At 49.4% G+C, this 2,759-nt stretch overlaps 1 annotated feature.

The window, feature by feature from the left end:
- Nucleotides 2,047–2,547: an enhancer, noted in NCBI's record as "H3K4me1 hESC enhancer chr2:185395422-185395922 (GRCh37/hg19 assembly coordinates)". NCBI's record gives its function as "activates a minimal SCP1, AML or CMV promoter by ChIP-STARR-seq in primed H9 embryonic stem cells {active_cell/tissue: H9 hESC(primed)}" and the evidence as "EXISTENCE:reporter gene assay evidence [ECO:0000049][PMID:30033119]".

Consider the following 2,759-nt stretch of genomic DNA (forward strand, 5'->3'; position numbering starts at 1 on the left):
AGCAGATGAAGCAATGGGACCAGGTCCTCCTCAAACAAGAGAATGAAAGGGAGTCCTTGGAATTGGTGACCTGACCTAATAAGGTGCTTTCCAAAAGGAAACAAACAAACAAACAAAAACCTGACCCCTCACATAGAAAATTCCTTGTATTTGCAGGACTATGCTGACTCCTGACATGGTGTAGGGAAAAAAAAAAAGAAAAACAAGAAAAAAACCTTAAGTTCAGGGGAGGGGCTTGCAGAGTGGCTTGCTTTTCAGCAGTACTCAAGGTTTGATTCAAATGTAGTATGACATAATTCCAGCAGAGTTCAAATACTTAGGTTAAGTCCTGGAAAGCCTTTATATGCCTATGAAGTTCATCTGAAAACTTGCCAAGATTCCCCCTTACTTTGCCTTAAGTCCTGTTGAGAAAAGGGTACCTGGATCTTCACTGGGCCATATTCACCAGGCATCTGTTGCAGGGGCAGGAGTGAGACTGACCTGACTAAAATGAGGATTTCTAGGTTGAGCCAAGCTTGAGAGACAACCTGGATAAGAAGGAGCAAATGGAGTTGACTCCCCCACTGGAGGTACCTCTTGGGTTTGCTTCCTTAGTGCCCTGGGATTGCCCCTTGCAGCATCTCCTTTTATGGCCACTGGAAGGCTGAATCAATACTGCATTGACAAAAGTCCGCATTACACTACAAGGCAAAGAAGGCCTGCACACATGGGACCTTAGACCATTTGCTCTTGTGTTTATGCAAAAGGTCCATTTGCAGGATGATATTGAAATTAATGATTCCTTCCTGAAGCCATGCTTCATTCCTGTGCCTCAAGGTGCTTGGCACTAAGTTGGCAACCAAGGAAATGACAATAACATTTCTGCCACAAATTTATGTAAAGATACCAAGGCACACTTTGCTTTCTCTGTGCTACTCTTAAACTTTGATTTTACACTCCTGATGGCCAAGCCAACTGCCCATTCTACCCAGTAATATCATCTCTATGATTTGCAAGAACACCCTTAACATTGTATGCAAAGAAGAGGATAGCAACCACGGCAGTCTTGAAAGAAAGAAAAAAAAGAAATTCCAATAAGAAAGACTGAAGGTCTGAGTGCTGACACCCTAATGAACTCCTGTCAGGGACTGGAGCAGGTCTAGGGGCCTTCAGGCAACACTGAGGTGTGACCTCAGCCAGATGCCCTTATTTGCCCCAGGACCTTATTCTGATCTCATACGATGGCTAGACCTCCATGAAAGGAAAATGTATTGGAAAAAGCCAACAGGCCAATCCCCGAGGGTAATGGGGGATTCACGACAATGTCCTCCCCAGCAAGCCTGTCCTCCGTGTCTTAAGTCTGGCAGCCGTGCTAGTCACTTTTAACTGGCTGACAGAGGCCCAGTATTTTTCTTTCATTTTAGCTTTTGTGGAATTTAGGGACTTTGAAAAAAACAGGATAGAAAGCAGCAAGTTTATTTTATCTACACTTTTGCAGATCCCAGATGTGCTGGCAAAAATGTCATGGGATCCTTGGGGTGTCATTTCTCTGGCCAGAAATCTTTGTGGCTGGCGGCACCTTCTGCCTGAATATTGCTTTCACTTGCTGGGTTCATTCTGCCCACTTGGCCCATGAGGCTGCGCTCAGCTTGCACTACCTACCTGGATCCCACACCTGCTAAAGGCAAGCCAGGTGTGGAACGATGAGGGGTGTGTGGTCATCAAGTACAGGGTCTGTCCTGTGCACAGCCAGATACCCTGGCTGCTGTGGTGGGGCGGGCAGCTCCAGGCTCTGGCTCTGTGAGAGGCTGCTGCTGGACCAGATGTACTGCACGTGGTTTCCACTGCAGGCACCCGCATCTGGACAAGGGGAACTTGGTGGTTCCCGGAAGCTTGGAGATGCCAGGTACCACAGAACCCCAAAGAGGATGTCACAGCCTTGACTCAGGGAGCCCCGAAGTTTGAGCTCCCCAAAGGGCTGCAGCTCTTCTTCTTCTTGTTGCCTGCAAGGTGGTGAGTGGAGTGGCTTGTTTTAGCCTGCTTGTGTTACAGCTCTTTGAGTCCTGACATTTGGCAGGTCCCAAGTTCTTGTCTGGTGTCTAGGAAGAATGAGATACATGGACAACTGCAGGGTGAGCAAGGCAGAAAGGGGCTTTATTGAGCAGCAGAACAGGTTTCAGGAGACCCGAAGTGAGGACCTCCTCTCCACAGGCAGGTCATCCCAACATCTGCCCATGTCTGGCTGAGTCCAGGATTTTTACTGGCTTCAGAAGGGAGGAAGTGGGTCCTGATTGGTCCATGGGCAACCATGGGTGGGCCTGGAAAAAACACCATAAGTTCTTATTTGGGTCTGTGGAACTGGCAGCCCAGCTCCCAGGCCTCACACTGTCCCTGGCCTGAATGTAGGGTTTCACTGGGGACTCACCCCATTTTGCTTGGGAGCCTGCATGCCTCCTGCTGCCATCCATGACATCCAGGCTATTCATGCCAAGGGGCACCTGCAGGCCCACACGGAGCCATCCTCAGTTCTCCCTCTGCCTCACTCCCATGCTCACTGATGCCCGAAGTCTGGAGGGAGCCAAGGCATCAGGGGTGTGGCATTTCCATGCTGCCCCGAGTGTGCACACATCCCTCTGAATTGTGACAGCATCTGGGTTTGGCCCCATCTTTGCTCCGAAATCAAAGCGGTTGCTGAGAGCGAGAAAAGGCCAGGCAGCAGGAGCAGACACTTCCAAGCCTGTTAGGAGGGGGCTTCCTGGACCCGCTAGAATGCAGAGATT

The sequence above is a fragment of the Homo sapiens genome, chromosome 2 (genome assembly GCF_000001405.40).
Source record: "Homo sapiens chromosome 2, GRCh38.p14 Primary Assembly".
Taxonomy (NCBI): domain Eukaryota; kingdom Metazoa; phylum Chordata; class Mammalia; order Primates; family Hominidae; genus Homo; species Homo sapiens.